The sequence below is a fragment of the Homo sapiens genome, chromosome 1 (genome assembly GCF_000001405.40).
Source record: "Homo sapiens chromosome 1, GRCh38.p14 Primary Assembly".
Lineage (NCBI taxonomy): Eukaryota > Metazoa > Chordata > Mammalia > Primates > Hominidae > Homo > Homo sapiens.
This window is the reverse complement of record NC_000001.11, coordinates 116,544,695-116,563,833: the sequence shown is the minus strand read 5'-3', so window position 1 is coordinate 116,563,833 and position 19,139 is coordinate 116,544,695. Positions and strand designations below refer to the sequence as shown.

Genomic DNA, 19,139 nt, shown 5'->3' with positions numbered 1-19,139 from the left:
AAACCTTCATGGCAGCCCCTCCTATCACAGGCCTGGAGGCCTTGGAGGGAAAAATTGTTTCATGGGCTGGACCCAGGGCCCCCCTGCTCTTTGCAGCCTCCAAACATGGAGCCCTGCATGCCAGCTGTTTTAGCTCCAGCCATGGCTAAAAGGGGCCAACATACCACTCAGGCTGTTGCTTCAGAGGGTAAGCCTTGGTGGCTTACATGTGGTGTTGGGCCTGTGGATGCACAGAAGTCAAGAATTGAGGTTTGAGAACCTCTGCCTAGATTTCAGAGGATGTATGGAAATGCCTGGATGTCCAGGCAGAAGTTTGCTGCAGGAGTGGGACCCTCATGGAGAACCTCTGCTAGGGCAGTGTGGAAGGGAAATGTGGAGTTGGAGCCCCCACACAGAGTCCCCACTGGGGCACCGCCTAGTGGAGCTGTGAGAAGAGGGCCATCATCCACCAGACCCCGGAATGGTAGATCCACCGAGAGCTTGCACCGTGTACCTGGAAAAGCCACAGACACTTAATGCCAGCTCATGAAAGCAGCCAGGAGGATGGCTGTACCCTGCAAAGCCACAGGGGAAGAGCTGCCCAAGGTTGTGGGAGCCCATCTCTTGCGTCACCTGGATGTGAGGCATGGAGTCAAAGGAGATCATTTTGGAACTTTAAGGTTTAAGACTGCCCTATTGGATTTAGGACTTGCATGGGGCCTGTAGCCCTTTTGTTTTGGACAATTTCTCCCATTTGGAATGGATATATTTACTCAGCACCTGTACCCCCATTGTATCTAGGAAGTAACTAACTTGCCTTTGATTTTACAGGCTCATAGGTGGAAGGTACTTGCCTTATCTCCGATGAGACTTTGGATTTAGACTTTTGGATTAATGCTGGAATAAGTTAAGATTTTGAGGGACTGTTGGAAGGGCATTATTGTGTTTTGAAATGTGAGGACATGAGATTTGGGAGGGGCCGGGGTGGAATGATATGGTTTGGCTGTGTCCCCACCCAAATCTCACCTTGAATTGTAATAATCCCCGTGTGTCAAGGGCAGGGCCAGGTGGAGATAATTGAATCATGAGGGCAGTTTCCTCTATACTGTTCTTGTGATAGTGAATAAGTCTCACAAGATCTGATGGTTTCATAAAGGGGAGTTCCCCTGCACACGCTCTCTCTTGCCTGCCACCATTAAGACATGACTTTGCTTCTCCTTTGCCTTCTGCCATGATTGTGAGGTTTCCCTGGCCATGTGGAACTGTGAGTCCATTGAGCCTCTTTCCTTGATAAATTACCCAGTCTCATGTATGTCATTATTAGCAGTGCGAGAATGGACTAATACACCCCATCTCTACAAAAAGTTAGCCAGGTGTGGTGGTGCACGCCTGTAGTCCCAGCTACTCAGGAGGCTGAGATGAGCCTGGCAATTGCTTGAGTCTGGGAATTTGAGGCTGCAGTGAGCCATGATGACACAACTGCATTCCAGCCTGGGTAACAGAGCAAAAAAATAAAAAATAAAAAGGTAGGAACTATTTTATTATTAACAGAGTCTGTCTTATTCTGCTGTTGTTGACATTTTACAGATCCTTTATTGCCAACTATCTGCATAACTAGATTTTAAGTTCCTTGTATGCAGAAGTCATGTATTATTTTTTAAAATTTTCCTTATATTGATCTGTTTTTTTTTAATAGTAAAGATTGTTGAATCTGAACATTAGATGACAATGTATTTGTCCAGCATTTCTCCATTTGAAATTATCTCACATTATTATGTGAGACTTGTTCATGTGCTTTGCTGGAGTTGAGACTTAGACAGTCTGTGTTTTTTTATTTAGCAAAGATAATCCAAGTTAAAATAGTGTTGTGTGTTCCTATAGGAAAACTAGGCCCAGTGTTATAACAGAGTGTAAGTAATAATAGCCACTAGGAGGTAAGTACCTGCTCTGTGCCAGGAGCTATGCTTCAGATTTGAGATGTTTTTATTTAATTGTCACACTGATTTTATTACATAGGGAACATTTAATAGGAGAACAAAGCTTAGGTAGGTTCAGTAATGTGTCCAAGTTCACACAGCAAATAAGTGGCAGAGTGAACTTGAACTTTGATTCTCTCTGAATCAGAACCTATTCCTTTATATGCTCTGTTGTATCCCTAGCCTGAGATCCACTAAGCAACTTTTTGAAGATGAGTACTACTGATTTCTTATATCCAACATGTATACATTGTCCAATGAAATTCTGCTAAAACATGGGAAATATAGGTCAGCACAATTACCAGTCATGCAAAATTGTATTTAATATCATAATTTGTAATGGTGAGGGGTGCTTCTTTGGGACATAGAATTTACAATGGCAATTTATTGACATATTTATTATTAACATTATTATATTTACATTCTCTAGGTACCCACATTTCACTCCTAGACACTTTTGCATAATCTCAATAACATCATAACATCTATAAATATTAACACTAATCCTGTAACATCACCTAACTTTTACCCGTATTCAGATTTCCCCACTTGTCACAAGAGTGTCTTTTGTTAAAAAACCCGGATCTAATCAAGTTTCACTCATTGTATTCGTTGCTATGTTTTTTTGTTTTAATTTTGATGGGCATCTTTCAGAAGTTTTAAAATAGTCTTAGAACCTCTTTTTAAGAACCAGATTTGAATAATTTATTTTATTGACCTCCTTGTCACTCTAACATTTCTTTAGTAAATACAGGCTTTGAGGGTAGGTATTGGTTTCTCTGTTTAAAAGTAGAAACTTTGCATAAATCAGCCCTTATATGTGTAAGTTTTCTGCCTTTTGGTTTCTTCTCATGCTGTTTCTGCACAAGTGCCTAAGCTTTTTTGAAGCTTTACTTGAGGGGTGACCAGAAGGTTTTACTTAAGGACACAGACCCTTAAATTCTGCAATGACAAATCTCAACTTCCATCTCAGGGTTGTAAGTGAAACCAGGATGCAGCCGTTTCTCTTTTCTCAGATAAGTTCAGGTTTGAATATAAAGTGTGACTATAAGATACAGAGACTGTCCCTAGAAAAGGAGGGGAAAACATTTTAGCAGTTCCTCTTTGGAGATAACTTTCAGTGCCTGCCCATCAGCCTCCAAGGAAAATGCTTTTTGGTTACTTTATAGGTTCTAGTGAACTTTGCTTACTTTACAATGTTCCCCAAAATGTCTGTTGAGATTAGTGCCTGAATTTCCACTGGGCTGACCAGTCTGTAGTTTCTTGAACATTTTCTTCCTATGCCAGTTAAAAATTAGAAGAAAATTGAAGTTTAACATACACATTCAGAAAAAAATAAAAAATCAGATTAATAAGAAACTAATGAGGCTGTGCCATTGTAAACTACTTGCAATAGAGTTTCCCAACGATGAACTGAGTATCTAGAAAATAACAAGGATTCTCAAGGAATTTTAGTGAAATGATCAGTACTGTATTGAAATACCTTGAATCAGACTTTGGAGAATAGATTTAAAAACACTCACAGCCTTAACCGATCTAGTAAGAACCTTATTCCCTAAAGCATACTGTGGATCTCAGCTGTATCCTATCTAAGGTGAGAACAGTCAAAGACAAATGTGGCCTTTGAGAAAGGTGGGATGTGAGTGTCTTGAAACAACAGGCTAAAGAAGTGCTCTCAAATAGAAGTATAATATGGAACATGTGAAATTAATTTTAATAATATATTTTAGTTAACCTAATATATCCATAATATTTTCATTTCGACATGTATTAGGTTGGTGCAAAAGTTATTGTGGTTTTTGCTATTTTTTTTTAATGGCAAAAACCGGCAATTACTTTTGCACTAACCTAGTAGTTACTACAAAAAAATATTAACAAGAGATTTTATGTTCCACTTTTTAATACCAGGTCTTCAGATTCTGGTGTGTATTTGATACTCAGAACACATCTCCATTTGAACTAACCATATTTCAGGTTCTCACTAGCCACTTGTAGCTGGTAGCTACTTTGATGGATTGCATAGGTCTAAAGGGAAACATCTTGAGAAAGAAGAAATAGGTTAAGTGCAAGAACAAGAATTAAAAAGGAAACTATTTTAGCATCATATTAGAAGGAAAGTACAGAAAGAAGTTGATTTAGAGAACCAACATCTTAATTCTTGATGAACTTATCGAGGAGGCAGATTGACAGCTGAGAGCAAGGTCCGGGAACCTTGCTCTGGCCTTGGGGACCGAGGGTTTGTAACCGTTGGGAGACAGGTGGCTGCAGTTTCAGTATGAAGTAGATGAGGGCAGGGAAACTGGTGGTGGTGTGGCTGAAATCAGTAAATCTCTGTCTTAAGGAAATAAGAGAAGTCACTAACTGGGACCGGCTAAGGGTGGAATCGATCAGGAAAAAAGAGGAATGGCCCCAACCAAGGCATCTGATGTTCTGGCCAACAGTGCAGGCTCTGGGGCCGACTGCCTGTGTCTGGACACCAGCTCTGCCCCTTGCTAGCTGAGTGAATGCAGTCAGCTGACCCTCTCAGTCCATTTCTTCATCTGTAGCCTGGTGCTTCGGAATCTTTGACCTTCTCTATCAACCAAGTGTCCAGCGGAGCAAACCACCTTACTTTGATAGGCGTGTTCTCAAGAAATAACTCCTTTCTCACTCTCACCCCAGATGTTCTTAGGCTCGCTCCCCTGCTTTTCTGGACTCTGCTCAGATGCCAACTTATGACTGCCCCCCATGCCATCCAACTCCTTTCCTTACCAGTACTCCTCAGCCCCCACACTCTGCTTTATTTTTCTCTATAGCACTTAACATCATCCAACATCATCCAAATAAAAGATATTTACTTTTTCATTTATTATGTTCTTCCCTCCACTGAAAAATAGACTCCAAGAGGGCTGGGATTTTGTCTGTTTTGTTCATTGCTATATCCTGCCTGCTTATTTCAGTGTCTGGCACATAGGCAGGACTCCATGAACATTTGATGAACAAATAAATGAATAATAAGAACTACCTCAGAGTTGAGTTGAGGATTAAATGAGTTAATACACAAACAGCTCTTGGAACAAGTGCTTGTCACATAGTAAGCCTGCAGTGAATCTTCGTGCTGCTGCTACTGTTAAATATTATTACTGAGGCTGAGCTGGCCTAGGGCTCCTTGGATTGGACTTGCTAAGAGCTAGGCAAGAGTCACAACTGTATGAAACTTGATTGAGTTAAAACAAACAGTGCTACTCCTCTTTATTATCTCCATGCCTGGTAAGCACATTTTCTACCCCCAAAATTGGGACTGACTAATATGAGAATATTTATGGCCTTAATAGGACAGGTTATTTGATACAATTACTAGCCTAGACATTTTAGGAGATTGGCCGCTCCTCAATACTATAAATGCATATATGGGTGTGTAGATAGAGATGTTGCTTCCCAGATTGCCACACATCCTGATACTGCAAGTAGGCATCAACTGAAAATGTGCCGTGATGTGAAGACCAAACGCAGAGAAGTGAGAGGGACAAGGCTGTGCTCAGTGACCCATATCCAGATGAGAAATCCATCTGCTCACTTGGGAGCAAAAATGCCCCAAGACCCTGCTATCTCTGGGCTTGCACGAGGCTTTAAATGAATCACCATTATGATGTCTTATATTCAGAGGGAAATACCAATATTCATATATTCAGGTACTGAAACTTTTAAGGGAATTTTTCTTTTTTCTTTCTTTTTTTTTTTTTTTTGGTCAAATGAACTTTTACTTTACCTGCTAAAATCTGCAGGCAGTGTGAGCCTTAAAATATTTTAGAGAGAGAGAGAGAAGTATCTTAAAATTACATTGTTTATTTCTAAGAACAAACTCAAGAAAACCCTTTCCTTCAAATCCCGGAAGAGTGATTAGCTTGTCTCTAAGGTATGGCATTGGCTGGGCATGGTGGCTCATGCTTGTAATCTCAGCACTTCAGAAGGCCCAGGGAGGAGGATCACTTGAGCCCACGAGTTTGAGATCAGCCTGAGCAACATAGTGAGACCTTGTTTCTACAAAAAATATAAAAATTAGCTGGGCGTGGTGGCATGCAACTGTAGTTCTAGCTACTTGGGAGGCTGAGGCAGAAGGATCACTTGAGCCCAGGAGGTTGAAGCTACAGTGAGCCACGATTGCACCACTGCACACCAACCTGGGTGACAGAATGAGACCCTGTCTCCAAAAAGAAAAAGGAAGGAAGGAAGGAAGGGGAGGGAAGGAGGGAGAGAGAGAGGGAAAGAAAGAGAAAAATAAAAAGAAAGAAAAGAAAGAAATGACATCAGTGAACCTCCTCAAACCATAGCGAGGCTGTTAAGTTTGATTGGGGCTGACATCCATGAGTGGGTACAAGTTTATCTGGTGTGGTGCCCTGCATCCTATAACACTTAGTTGGTAAAATCTACTTAAACTTGAGAGGGAACATCTCAAAAGGGACAGCTGTGGAGTTGGGAAGGTGGAGCCCGCAGGTCCTCCCATCTTGCTTTGGTGATGAGGCAGAAAGTGGGGCTGAAAAACTGAGTCTGTTTTGGTTGTATATGAGGGCTCCTGAGCCATTTTATTTTTAAGCTCCAGTTAAACTTCTTTCTCCATCTCTCCTTACGAAGTCCTCCTTCTTCAGCCAGGTTCCACAGCAATTTGGGATTTCACAAAGCCCAGGGTTTGGGGTGACTGTCAAATTTTGCTATTCTGTCAGGAAGCCTTATCTTTTGAACTACATTTAAGTTGTATTTTAATCATTTTAGTTAATTCATTCAACAGATATTTATTGAAAGTCCATATGCCAGACATATGGGGATACAGCCAAAAACAGGAACACCTTTGTCCTTGTCCTGATAGGGCTAGCCTGGCTGGGGTTACCCCTAAGCTCAGATTTGAATTAGTTGCCAACTTTCAAGAACAGGAATTTTCACACAAAATGTGAATATCTGGCTTTTTTTGAAAAATTGGGAACCTGGCAATGGTGGGCCTCTGTTTCCACATGGCAGGAGCTGAGGCACAGCTCCTGTTTCCACATGGCAGGCCCCTCCCTGTAGGCTCACTGGTGCGCAAGTCCTCACCAGTCCCTTCTGACTCACACTTGGCCCGCTGGTATCTCCTCTGTGGGTGGAATTGCTGGTCTTCGTCTAATGCGTCATTTGCCACAGTTCTGTTTCTTTGTGACTCCTTTGTTTGCTCGTTTTCTTTTTATTGTTTCTGGTCTGGCTTTTTCTTCCTTGACTGGAGTCTTGCTCTCTGAGGCCCTCTTCAGCTCTAGCATTCGATGATTTGGAAACCACAGAGCTTAGTGCCTCACCTGTAGGTTTGGAGGTGTGCTTAACTCAGTTTGACTTTCTCATTTGCAACATCTGCTGTTCCAATGCTGTCTATAGATTGTATCCTGAGAAACCCTGCATCATGTCACTATCTTTAAGAGCCTTATGCCATGTAGCAAGCTAAATAAGAAACAATGGTTAAGAGCACTGATTCTGCAGTCAGATTGTCCAGGTTCAAATCTGGCTTCATTACTTAACATTGTTGTGCCTCAGTTTCCTCACCTGCAAAATAATAAGGTTAGAAATAAAACCTTCTTAATATGTTTTTAGGATTCTGATTTTTTTTTTTTTTTTTTTTTTTTTTCTGAGATGGAGTCTTGCTCTGTCACCCAGGCTGGAGTGCAGTGGCACAGTCTTGGCCACTGCAACCTCCACCTCCCGGGTTCAAGCGATTCTCCTGCCTCAGCCTCCCATGTAACTGGGATTACAGGCGAGTGCCACCACGCCCAGCTAATTTTGTATTTTTAGTAGAGACGGGGTTTCACCATGTTGGCCAGGCTGGTCTGGAACTCCTGACCTCAAGTGATCCACCTGCCTTGGCCTCCCAAAGTGCTGGGATTACAGGCATGAGCCACTGCTCCCAGTGGTGAGTACCTATTTATAGAGCCCTTGCAACAGTGCCTGGCACAGAGCCAGGGCCATACAAGTGTTAGATTAAGTAAAAAAAAAAAGTACCAGTCAATCTGAATCTCAGGCCCTGAGTAATAATTTGCAGAGGAATTTGTGCTGGGGGTTGAGAGTTCCTTTTCATTAACCCATAGTTAACGGTGACCAGATTTTCTAAATAAGAAATCAGGATACTTCATCTATAAAACTTGGGTTCCAGTTACAACTTCAGGCCATACAAAAAGAACTATTAAAATTGAGGTGTTGATGTTTTGTAGAAACACTGCAACAGAATATTTGAGATCAGACCTGTTTTTAGATATGTGATCACTCTATACATGTAGTGCTGATTAGGTATTAGGTACCCTCATATCTTTATTTAAAAAAAATTCAAAATTCTTCAAAACAAAAAAACCTTCAAAAATTATCTGGCTAGCATAGAAAATCTTTTTAGGCGATCACTGATAAAATTTTTTCCCTCCCTCCATCTCTCTTTGCTTTTAAACAGCAAAAACTCACCCCATGCCCAGTTCTCACCCAGTTAATTCAGACAGTGTGAATACCTTGATGTTGACCTAACTCATTAAAAGAAAAAGAGAGAAAACCTTTGAAAGCCTATTCCATGTCAACCAGTGTAAAAAGACTCTCAATTTTATTCAAACCTGAAAACAATCTTTTATGGTGGGCATTATGATTTCTACTTCACAGCTGAGGAGATCTAGTGTGGGGAGGCCTTTGGGAGTTCACCCTGGGCCTTGCTGGCTTCAAAATCTGGGCACTCTCTGTTCTGCACTCTGGCATGGTTATTAGCGTCCCTACAGTCCCTTTTCTGACCACTCAGTGGTATCAGCAAAGCAACAAACTCACTGTTGACACCATTCCTTTGCTCCTATTTGTGTATTCATTCATTCATTCATTCATTCGTTCATCCATGGTTTGTGACCTTTGAGAAAAAACTCACTCCCCTTTCTTCTATTGTTCTTTTGTTCATTAGAAATTATCTTAGCAACTTACTTTAGTGTTGGCCTTGGAAGTGCAACAGAAAAGACTTTACTGTAGGAAGGAAATAATAGATATACCCATGCACACAAAGTAGAGGTAGATATTAGTTTTAGAGACAGTTCTTAACAACTCCTCCTCTTGGTTGAATAATTCTATTTAAAAAAAATTTACATAGTTTTAATATTATAATAGTAATAGGATATTTGTCTTCAAAAGTAACATATTTTTCAATGTGACCTGTATTAAGTAATAAGTAATAAATTGAAATCTCACCATCACCACAATCTCTAAAGTAACCGTGGTTACTTTAAAAACAACCACTGTTAATCATTTAGGGTGTCTCTTTCCAGTCTAAAAAAAGAGCAAGTGAGAATGCATGTACACATGTATTCATGTCTTTTTATAGTTAAAATATATATATATTTTTTGGTAGAGACAGGGTCTCACTACATTGCCCAGGCTGGTATCAAACTCCTGGGCTCAAGTGATCCTTCCACTTTGGCCTACCAAAGTGCTAGAATTGTAGGCATGAGCCACCACATCTGGCCTCTTTATTGTTTTTAAAAAGAGGAATATTCTGCATATATATTTCTATAACTTTTTATTTTTAATATTAAGAAATTTTCCAAATTCCCAATAATAAAAGGAGAATATCCTGTTTCCTTTTTTAAAATAACCACATAGTAAGCCATGGCATAATACTAAATTGTTTAACTATTAGACTAGATTATTATTTACTAGTATAGATAACTTTAAAATGAATATCATTATGCATATCTCTTTATGTAGGTTATACTATTGTTTTATTTGTTAACATCCTGAATAAATATCACCCAGATCCCAGTATTCAGTGAAACTACAGGTTCTTTTAGAGCATAAGCAAAAATAAATTGTATGCATGTGTTTTTGTATGTGTGTTTAATTCTGCTTACATTTGAATTTTCTTCCATCTTTTTCCTACTATCTGAGTAATATCACTAGTGCCTTTTATTCAGTCAAGTCTCCACATGTTGACTCTTGTCTTGGAGTTATGATGCCATCCCCCTCCTGGCCTTTCTTCTACTTCCCAGGTCTCTCTCAGTCTCCTTAGCCAGTGTTTTCCCCTCTAGCCAAGCTTTAAAGCACAGGTCCAAGCTGCCTTTTCCCACTTCATACGCTCTCCCAAGGTGATGGTCCTAATGGCCTCCATTGGAGCCACTAGAAATGTGATGACTCCCAAATCTGTATCCTTTCCTGTGAGTCCCAGACCTGTGTACTTAGCAGCTACTGGGCATCTTTGCTTGGATGTCTCACAGACCCCTCACACTGAACAGTGTCAAACTGAAAGCATGATGTTCCAGGCCAGTCTTAGTCTTCCTGCTGTGTTTCCTTTCTTAGGGAAAGACACCACAACCCACCTAGGAGGAAGTAAGAGCTGTGATTCATCCTGGCCCTCCTGGCACCTCCTCTCCTCCTCCTTTACCCCATATGCTGTCAATCATCTAGTTCTCCCAGTTTTACCTCCCTAATGTCTCTTGAACCACTTTGCCTAGCACAATGCTGCCTCTTGACCAGTCTGAAATTGCTGTCTGATGGATCTCTTGCTATCTAGTCTTACCCCTCCCATCAGTCTTCCACACCATAGCCAGAAAAGATAAACACTTTCATTATGTAAAAATATAGAAACTTTGTATGGAAGATATTCATTTAGTAAATTCAATAGGCAAAGGCTGTATTTGAAAAAAAACTATAATACAGATAAAAATATATAACATATAAGGAGCCTTTAAACTTTGAGAAGAAAAAAACAAACAATCTAATACAAAAAAAGAGGATGTGAAAAGACATTTCTCAGAAAAAGAAATCCAAATCAACAAGCAGAAGAGATGCTTAAATTTTTAAAGGTTGGGAAAATGCAAATTCAAGTATCAATGAAATGTCACTATTTGCCCAAAAATTAAACATAAAAAAAAAATTACCTAATGCTGTCAGGAGTCCAAGGAAAGGGCAACTCAGGCATTACTGATGGAGATGTAAATTGCCAAAGTCTTTTTTGTAAACAATGCAGCAACTTCTATTAAAATAAAAAAAATCTATTTACCTTTTGATGTAGCAACTCCCAGCTCCACTCTACTCCCACATAAATATGAAACCATAAATACATCAGGACATATGTACAGGATAGTTATTGCGGTGTAACTGCAATAGACAAAGCTAGCCACAAAAGGAGTGTTCATCAGTGGTGGATGGCAGATTAATTATGGTTCCCTCATGCTCTGGAATATTATGTAGTTATTAAAAAGAATAAAGTATAGCTATACCAGTTGATTTCAAGGAGATTTTATGACATATTAATGGAAAGGCGGGATGTAGAGAAGTGTGCATAAGACCATTTTTATTAAAGAATGGTAAATCCCTCAGGCACACCTCCTTTTATTGCATTTCACTTTATTGCACTTCACAGATAATGTGCTTTTTACAAATTGAAGGTTCGTGACAACCCAGCTTTAAGCAAGTCCATCAGTGCCTAACTTTATGTTTTGTCTCTCTGTTACATTTTAGTAATTCCCACAATATTTAACGCTTTTTCATTATCATATCTGTTATGGTGATCTGTGATCAGTGATCTTTGATGTTACTGTTGTCATTGTTTTGGGATGCCAAGAACCATGCGTATAAGACGGTGAACTTAATTGATAAATGCTATGTGTGTTCTGACTGCTCCACTGACTGGCTGTTCTCCCCATCTTTCTCCTTCTCCTGGCCTCCCTTGTCACCTGAGACAATGATACTGAAATTAGGCCAATTTAATAACCCTGCAATGGCTTCTAAGTGCTCAAGTGAAAAGAAGAGTTGCACTGTCTCTCACTTTAAATTAAAAACTAGAAATGATTAAGCTTAGTGAGGAAGGCATGTGAAAAGCCATGACAGGTGGCCGGGCGTGGTGGCTCACAACTGTAATCCCAGCACTTTGGGAGGCCAAGGTGGGTGGATCACCTGAGGTCAGAAGTTTGAGACCAACCTGGCCAACATGGCGAAACCCCGTCTCTACTAAAAATACAAAAATTAGCTGGGTGTGGTGGTGGGCACCTGTAATCCCAGCTGGTTGGGAGGCTGAGGCAGGAGAATCGCTTGAACCTGAAAGGCAGATGTTGCAGTGAGCCAAGATGGCACTATTGCACTCCAGTCTGGGCTACAAGAATGAAACTCTGTCTGAAGAAAAAAAAAAAAAAAGAAAGAAAGAAAAAAAAAAAGCCACGATGGGCTGAAAACTAGGCCTTTTATGCCAAAGAGTTAGTGAAGTTGTGAATTCAAAGGAAAAGTTCTTGAAGGAAATTAAAAGTGCTACTTCAGTGAACACATAAATAAGAAAGTGAAACAGCGTTATTGCAGATGGAGAAAGTTCGAGTAGTCTGCATAGAAGATCAAGCCAGCTACAACATTCCCTTAATCCAAAGCCTAATCCAGAGCAAGACCCTAACTCTCTTTAGTTCTGTGAAGGCTGAGAGAGGTGAGAAAGCTGCAGGAGAAAAGTTTGAAGCTATCAGAGGTTAGTTCATGAGATCTTAGGAAGAAAGCCATCTCCATAACATAAAACTGTGAAGTAAAGCAGCAAGTGTTGATGTAGAAGCTGCAAGAAATTATCCAGAAGATCTAAGATTACTGGTGCAGGATACATGAAACAACAGATTTTCAATGTAGACAAAACAACCTTCTACTGGAAGAAGATGCCATCTAGGACTTCCATAGCTAGACAGGAGAAGTCAACTTCAGGCTTGAAAGGACAGCTGACTCTCTTGTTGTGTGGGCTAATGCAGCTGATGACTTTAAGTTGAAGCCAGTGCTCATTTACCACTCTGAAAATTTTTAGGGCCCTTAAGAATTAGGCTAAATCTATTCTGCTTGTGCTCTATAAAATGGAACAACAGGCTGGATGACAGCACATCTGTTTACAGCATGGTTTACTGAATATTGTAAGCCCACTGTTAATACTTACTGCTTAGAAAAAAAAGATTCATTTCAGTATATTATTGCTTGTTGACAATGCACCTAATCACCCAAGAGCTCTGATGGAGATGTACAAGGAGATGAGTGTTGTTTTCATGCTTGCTAATACAACATCCATTCTGCAGCCCATGGATCAAGGAGTAATTTTGCCTTTGAAGTCTTATTATGTAGGAATACACTTGGTAAGGCTATAGCTGCCATAGATAATTATTCTTCTGATGAATCTGGGCAAAGTAAATTGACAACCTTCTGAAAGGATTCAGCATTCTAGATGTCATTAAGAATATTTGTGGTTCATGGGAGAAGATCAAAATATCAACATTAACAGGAGTTTGGAAGAATTTGATTCCAATCGTCAGGTCAAAATATCAATATTAACAGGAGTTTGGAAGAATTTGATTCCGATCCTCATGGATGACTTTGAAGGGTGGAAATAGCAAGAAAAATAGAAGTGGAGCCTGAATATGTCACTCAGTTGCCACAATCTCATGATGAAAATTGAGCCAATGAGGAGTTGCTTCTTATGGATGAGCAAAGAAAGTGGTTTCTTCAGATGGCATCTATACTCCTGGTGAAGATGCTGTGAACATTGTTTAAATGACAACAAAGGGTTAAGAGTATTACATAAATTTAGTTGATAAAGCAGCAGCAGGATTTGAGAAAATTTACTCTAATTTTGAAAGCAGTTTTACTGTGAGTAAAATTCTATCAAACAGCATTGGATGCCTCTGAGAAATATTTTGTGAAAGGAAGGGTCCATTGATGCAGCAAAACTCATCATTGTCTTCTTTTAAGAAATTGCCACAGCCATTGCAGCCTTTAGCAACCAACACCCTGATCAGTCAGCAGCCATCAACATTGAGGCAAGACCTTTCACCAGCAAAAATATTAGGACTTGCTGAAGGCTCAAATGATTGTTAGCATGTTTTTTTTTTCAGCAATAAAGTATTTTTTAATTAAATATGTACATTGTGTTTTTAGACATAATGCTATTGAACACTTTAATAGACTACAGTATAGTGTAAACATAACATTTATATGCCCTGGGAAACCAGAAAATTTGTGTGACACACTTTACTCTGATATTTACATGATTGCTGTTGTCTGGGACCAAACCCACGGTATCTTCAAGCTATACCTGTGTGTATCCATTATATGTGATACATGTTTGTATCTATTTGACTATATGAGAGAAAAATATTGAAAGATGTATTCTGATTTGTTAATGTAGATTATAGAACTGGAGATTGTTATGGGGTTAAGAGAGTGGGTAAGGCACCCAGATAAGAGGACTGAAAAAATACTTATATGATCGTTTTTCATTAGTGTAAAGTTGTATGTATGTGTCTATGTATAATTTATGTTTTAAAATACATTTTTTAAAGAAAGAGTTACTCTTATTTTGTCCCCATCCTGTTTGAAACTCTTCTATGGCTTTCTTTACTTCAATACTAGAATTGTGTTTGTTTGATGCCTTGCAAGGGCTGGCTGTGCTTGTGTATGCAGCTCGGCTTATGCTACTTTTCTCATGCCATTGCTCCTGCTTCAAGGTCTGCATAATTGTTCTCTTAATGGGGACCTGCCCTGCTCTCCTGGGCATAGTTAACTGCTGCTTGTGCCTCAGAACTTCTTTTAGGGAAGGGAACTGCCTTCCCTAACCCCTTGTTAGTTCCCTAAGTAAATGTTCTTATTGACACCTGATGCTTTTACTTAGCAGCAATTATCACAGTTGCAGTTGGGCATTGTCTAATTATTTGTGTAAATTCTGCCTCCCCTAATAGAATGTCAACTCTAAGAAGGAAGGGACGGTGTCTGTCTTGTTCTCAAGGATCTTATATAGAATAGATGCCCAATGAATATTTCCTGAGTGAATGAATAAATGAATCCCATCCTGAATGTGGGACCACGCTGTTCTGAAAGGGCACTGACCAAGGAGTCAGACAATGTGTGTTCTGGTCATTGTGCCGCCATAAACTTGCTGAGAGACATGGAGCAAGGTGATATGCCTCTTGGAGCCTGCTTTCCTACCTGTAAATGGGGTTAATAACACCTACTGCAGGTAGACATGGAGAGGGATAAAAAGGAATACAAGACAATGTGAACATATAACCAGCAGAGAGTAAGCATTCAATAAAATTGCCTTATATTTTTCTTGGTGTCTTGTCACTTCACCAGTGAAATGGGAGTAATTTGACTAAATAATTTTTAGAGTTTCTTCTAGTTCAAAATTATAGTTGACCCTTGAACAACATGGCAATTAGGGGCACCAACCCCTTGAGCAGTCAAAAATTTATGTATAACTCTTGACTCCCAAAAACTTAACTGCTAATAGCCTACCAGAAGCCTTACCAATAACATAAACAACACATATTTTCTATGTTATATGCATTGCATGTTGTATTCTTACACTAAATTAAGCTAGAGAAAAGAACTTATTAGGAAAAGCATAAGGTGTAGAAGAATGAAACTGGATCCTCATCTTTCACCTTATATAAAAATCAACTCAAGGTGGATCAAAAACTTAAATCTAAGACCTGAAGCCATAAAAATTCTAGAAGATAACATCAGAAAAACTCTTCTAGACTTTGGCTTAGGCAAAAGGTCATGACCAAGAACCCAAAAACAAATGCAACAAAAACAAAGATAAATAGATGGGGCTTAAATTAAAAAGCTTCTGTACAGCAATATAAACAATCAGCAGAGTAAACACACAACCCACAAAGTGGGAGAAAATATTCACAAACTATGTATCTGACAAAGGACCAATATCCAGAATCTATAAGGAAGTCAAACAAATCAGCAAGAAAAAAGCAAACAATCCCATCAAAAAGTGGGCCAAGGACATGAATAGACAGTTCTCAAAGGAGGATATACAAATGGCCAACAAACATATGAAAAAATGCTCAACATTACTAATTATCAGGGAAATGCAAATTGAAACCACAATGCAATACCACCTTACTCCTGCAAGAATGGCCGTAATTTAAAAATCAAAAAATAATAGATGTTGGCATGGGTGTGGTGGGAAAAGGGAACACCTGTACACTGCTGGTGGGAATGTAAACTAGTACAACCACTATGGAGATTTCTTAAGCAACTAAAAGTAGAACTACCATTTGATCCAGCAATCCCATTACTGGGTATCTACCCAGAGGAAAACAAGTCATTTTATGAAAAAGACAACACACAACATGTTGCACACAACATCTTTATAGTGGCACAACTCGCAATTGCAAAAATATGGAATCAGCATAAATGCCCATCAATCAATGAGTGGATAAAGAAAATGTGGGAGATATATATATATATGAATATGCCATAAAAAGGAACATAATAGGCCAGGCGCGGTGGCTCGTGTCTGTAATCCCAGCACTTTGGGAGGCCAAGGCGGGCAGATCACGAGGTCAGGAGATCGAGACCATCCTGGCTAACATGGTGAAACCCCGTCTTTACTAAAAATACAAAAAAAAAATTAGCCGGGCATGGTGGTGGGCGCCTGTAGTCCCAGCTACTCAGGAGGCTGAGGCAGGAGAATGGCGTGAGCCTGGGAGGTGGAACTTTTAGTGAGCCGAGATCACGCCACTGCACTCCAGCCTGGGGACAGAGCGAGACTCTGTCTCAAAAGAAAAAAAAAAAAAAAAGAACAAAATAATGGCATTCACAGCAACCTGGATGGAACTGGAGACCATTATTCTAAGTGAAGTAACTCAGGAATGGAAAACCAAACATATGTTCTAACTTACAAGTGGGAGCTAAGCTATGTAAGAATGATACAGTGAACTTTGGGGACTTGTGGAGAAGGGTGGGATGGGGATGAGGGATAAAAGACTACACACTGGGTACAGTGTACACCAGAATCTCAGAAATCACACCCAAATAACTAAAAAAAAAAAAAAAACTTATCCATGTAACCAAACATCACCTGTTCCCCCAAAACTATTGAGATAATAGTAATAAAAAAATTTAAAAAAGAAAAAAAAGCATAAGGAAGAAAATATACTTACTAAGTGAAAGTGGATCATCAAAGGTCTTCATCCTCATTATCTTCACGTTAAAGCAGGCTAAGTGGGAGGAGGGGTTGGTCTTGCTATCTCAGGGATGGCAGAGGCGGAAGAAAATCCACATGTAAGTGGACCCACACAGCTCAAACCCATGTTGTTCAAGGGTCAACTGTACTTTGATTTCTTCTGAGCTGCAGTCTCCCCTTTCTCTACCCTCACTTCCCTCCACCACTAGCTCCATTCCTGACTACTTTCTTCTACTGTTCTCAAGCCCAGGATACATCAGCTCTCCCTGGGAAAGACAAAAGACATCTTCATGCCGCCAGGGTATGGCAGTTTATCTCATACCTACTCTTTCACCACCACCCTGCCCTCTATCACTCATTGTTTCATTTACATTTATAAGACATTTTTGAGTTTCCACTATTGTGTGTGGTAGACTCTCACCCCTTGAATTCTGTACTTTTTCTTGTGCCTTCCCACATACTCTGTTGAGTGGAGGAAATAATGCATAATCGGCAAAGCAATGGAAAGATGCTGGTGTGTTTTTGAGGGCAGTTCCCCTTAATTAAGGGAGATGGGTTCTAAAAAGTCCTTGTAGATAAACAAATGGGTGATATTTGCTTCTTATCTGAAATTACTAACACAGTTGTCTACAACTGGTCATTCAGTGTTCTTGATTTCCCCTGTATTATTTCAATTACCCTAATTGCTACTAGGCAAAAACTTCAGTCAAATTTTAATTGCTCTTTAATGTTAACTTAAAATAGCTGCAGTTTTTTGTTTGTTTGTTGAGACAGGTCATGCTCTGTCACCCAGGCTGGAGTGCAGTGGCACAATCATGGCTGACTGCAATCTCTGCCTCATGGCTTCAAGTAATCCTCTTCAGCCTCCCAAGTAGCTGGGGACCACAGGTGTGTGCCATGCCCAGCTAATTTTTTGTACTTTTCGTAAAGATGGGGTTTCGCCATTTTACCCAGGTTGGTCTTGAACTCCTGAACTCAAGCAATCCAACCACCTTGGCCTCCCAAAATGCTGGACTTACAGGCATGAACCACAGGACCCAGCTGCTGTTCTCTCTTAACAAGAGACAAGTCCTAGAGCAAGATGCATTTAAACCCACTTTGGGGTATCAAAAATATCCCAATCTTGTGGTTCTAATAAATGTTTAACAACTAGGTTGGTATGGAGGTTCTGATGTGAAGCATTAGTCAGTTTCTGTGCTGTTACTAGATGTTCCCTAATAGGGCTGGGCAGAGATGCTAACAATTGGCTCATGAGGGCAGGTGGACCTGGCTCCAACCCACCACTGCACCCAATCCCTGAGTTCTTAATCTTCATCACACCCTCGACTTGCTTCCCAGCCATTGTTTCTGATCTCAGTTAATGATGCCTCTCAGTCAGCCAAGGAGACCTGACAGTCCCATCCACTTCCCCCACCCTCATCACTGAATCCTGTTGACTTCTCTCTCCAGCATCTCCTGAGTCTGTCCGCTTGTCTGTCCCCACTACAAACACCCTGCTCTGGTCTGTCCTGTCCATGGACTTCATTGCTACAGCATTGACTTTCATTATAATTTCCCTGCCTCTGTGCTGGCCCCTGTCAGCCGCTCTCTACTCTAAAGACAGTCAGCCTGCTGACACTTAAATTATGTTAGGCCAGTCTTGTTAAAAACCTTTCTGTGGCTTCCTCTCCATTAGGATCAGTCCAAACCCTTAGCGTTCCTTACTTTAGCACACATAGGCTGTGGGCTGGCCTTTGTCTGTCTTGTTCCCCACCAGCCACCCCTTGCCCTCCTCATTCTAGCTGTTAGGAATCACGTGTGTATCCTCAAGCACACCATGCTCTTTCTCCATTCAGGGCCTTCCTTTGGGGGTGCTGCTTCCTATATATCTGTATGATCATCTCTTCTTCCACTCCCCACCCACTCACCTACCCAGCCCTGCGGCCTAACTGCCTTTTATCCTTCAGTGATTTGCACGTTATGTCAGTTCCAGCATGACTTCCTTGGGGAGGCCCTAGACCAGGCAGCTCCCCTCATGCAGCCCCTGATGTAGAGCCTGCTCCCTGTCTTCTCCACACGTGAGGCTCCTGGAGGGCCTGGAACAACCCCATATTCCCAGCCCAGCCCGTACTACCTGGCAGATGGTTGGTGCTCCATGAATGTCGGGTCCATTTCTTGGATTTATGCAGGTCCCAGTTTTCTATTAAAGAGTAAGCTCCACATGGTCAAACATGTTCTTACTTCCTGTATTTTGTGTCAGCAGT

At 40.4% G+C, this 19,139-nt stretch overlaps 1 protein-coding gene, 1 long non-coding RNA gene and 1 other non-coding gene across 5 annotated transcripts in view, besides 7 other annotated features; 2 read left to right on the top strand and 1 right to left on the bottom strand.

Moving 5' to 3' along the window:
* Positions 1–19,139, top strand: part of CD58 (CD58 molecule) — a 56,493-nt gene that overhangs the window by 7,193 nt on the left and 30,161 nt on the right. The window lies entirely within an intron of this gene.
* Positions 1,167–1,316: an enhancer, noted in NCBI's record as "active region_1570". NCBI's record gives its function as "activates an Ori minimal core promoter by ATAC-STARR-seq in GM12878 lymphoblastoid cells {active_cell/tissue: GM12878}" and the evidence as "EXISTENCE:reporter gene assay evidence [ECO:0000049][PMID:35858748]".
* LOC105378925 (uncharacterized) lies at positions 2,647–19,133 on the bottom strand. Its single transcript, XR_947739.2, has 3 exons — positions 19,010–19,133; positions 16,874–16,956; positions 2,647–13,449 (listed from the first exon to the last, which is right to left on the bottom strand). It is a non-coding gene; the product is annotated as an uncharacterized LOC105378925 (long non-coding RNA).
* Positions 3,723–3,810, top strand: MIR548AC (microRNA 548ac). Its single transcript, NR_039621.1, has one exon. It is a non-coding gene; the product is annotated as a microRNA 548ac (primary transcript).
* Positions 3,916–4,155: an enhancer, noted in NCBI's record as "active region_1569". NCBI's record gives its function as "activates an Ori minimal core promoter by ATAC-STARR-seq in GM12878 lymphoblastoid cells {active_cell/tissue: GM12878}" and the evidence as "EXISTENCE:reporter gene assay evidence [ECO:0000049][PMID:35858748]".
* Positions 5,207–5,256: an enhancer, noted in NCBI's record as "active region_1568". NCBI's record gives its function as "activates an Ori minimal core promoter by ATAC-STARR-seq in GM12878 lymphoblastoid cells {active_cell/tissue: GM12878}" and the evidence as "EXISTENCE:reporter gene assay evidence [ECO:0000049][PMID:35858748]".
* Positions 6,933–7,227: an enhancer, noted in NCBI's record as "tiled region #4262; K562 Activating DNase matched - State 5:Enh". NCBI's record gives its function as "activates a minimal TATA promoter and a strong SV40 promoter by Sharpr-MPRA in K562 cells {active_cell/tissue: K562}" and the evidence as "EXISTENCE:reporter gene assay evidence [ECO:0000049][PMID:27701403]".
* Positions 6,933–7,250: a biological region, named in NCBI's record as "Sharpr-MPRA regulatory region 4262".
* Positions 7,001–7,250: an enhancer, noted in NCBI's record as "active region_1567". NCBI's record gives its function as "activates an Ori minimal core promoter by ATAC-STARR-seq in GM12878 lymphoblastoid cells {active_cell/tissue: GM12878}" and the evidence as "EXISTENCE:reporter gene assay evidence [ECO:0000049][PMID:35858748]".
* Positions 18,892–19,121: an enhancer, noted in NCBI's record as "active region_1566". NCBI's record gives its function as "activates an Ori minimal core promoter by ATAC-STARR-seq in GM12878 lymphoblastoid cells {active_cell/tissue: GM12878}" and the evidence as "EXISTENCE:reporter gene assay evidence [ECO:0000049][PMID:35858748]".